Below are 1413 nucleotides of genomic sequence, written 5' to 3'. Positions count from 1 at the left end.
GTTAGCTCTTATGCTCAAAGATAAGCAGACAAGTCCAGCTTGAGAGATTGTTATAACCTACCTGATTCTAACCTTGATGGGGATGTGAATAGATTAAGGAGCTGGCCAAGTAGAAAAAGCCAGGATTTTGAAGTTAGTCAACCCTGGATCCAACCACTATCTTCACTACTTTATTAGAAAGCAAGTTATTAGAAGCAATTTGTACACTCTCTGACCTTGTCCTCTGATCTGTAAAAGAAGAGATAATAATAATGATCTTGTGATTGTTGTGAGGATTAAAAGAAAGGGAGACAACAGAACATATTGGTGGAGTTCCTGAGTTTGAATCTCTGGCTTTGGGCAAGTTATTTGACCTCCCCTGCTTTAGTTCTTCTTCTCTGAGATAGGAATGTTAATATTACTTACCTCAAAATTGTTGGGAAGGTTAAATGGATTAATACATGTGCAGCCACTTAGGGCAGTGCTGAGCACTTAACAAGACCTCAATAAGTTTTAGCTTCAACTCTGATGAAGTATCTAAAGCAGTCTCTGATACCTGTAAGCACTCATTAAATGGCAGCTACCTGCCGGACATGGTGGCTCAGGCCTATAATCCTAGCAACTTGGGAGGCCGAGGCACGTGGATCACTTGAGGTTAGAAATTTGAGACCAGCCTGGCCAACATGGCAAAACCCCGTCTCTACAAATATACAATAATTAGCTGGGCATGGTGGCATATGCTTGTAGTCCCAGCTACTCAGGGGGCTGAGGCAGGAGAATCTCTTGAATCCAGGAGGCAGAGTTTGCAATGACCCAAATTTGTGCCACTGCACTCCAGCCTGGGTGACAGAGCAAGACTCCATCTCAAAAAACAAACAAACAAACAAACATTTATTAATAATCATTTACTAATAAGATTATTTAGGGAGCAGGAATTCTTCCTTTCCCTTCTCCTAAGCATTGGAAAGGATTCAGAACTGGGGGTCAGGGGACTATGATTCTAAAATCTGCACAGTGTTTAACCATGGCCTTGTCAATTATTTCAATTCTCTGGGTCTCAGATTACTTCTGCTGTAAAATTAAGTGTTTAGAAGATGATCCCAAAAGGTTACTTGCAAGCTGAAGACCTCTGTGTTTCTAAGTAGAATGTGTATATGCCCACTTGTACCTCATGGAACAGATCTGTGTTAGCTAAGGACTAGAATGGTGATTCTTAAAGAATCAGTAGGATCAACATCATCTGCAAACTTGTTAGATATGCAAATTGTGAGGCTGTGGCCCAACAGCTGTATTGAACACGTCCTCCTGGTGATTCTGATGTGCCCTAAAGTCTGAGAAACACTGAGCTGAAAGATTAGAAGAGACTTAATGAAGAGGGCATTAGAGACCAACTAGATTCTATCTTGAACGATGATTCCCTAACTGGTCTGTACA

The sequence above is a fragment of the Homo sapiens genome, chromosome 8 (assembly GCF_000001405.40).
Source record: "Homo sapiens chromosome 8, GRCh38.p14 Primary Assembly".
NCBI classification, from domain to species: Eukaryota; Metazoa; Chordata; class Mammalia; order Primates; family Hominidae; genus Homo; species Homo sapiens.
This window is presented reverse-complemented; position numbering follows the sequence as displayed.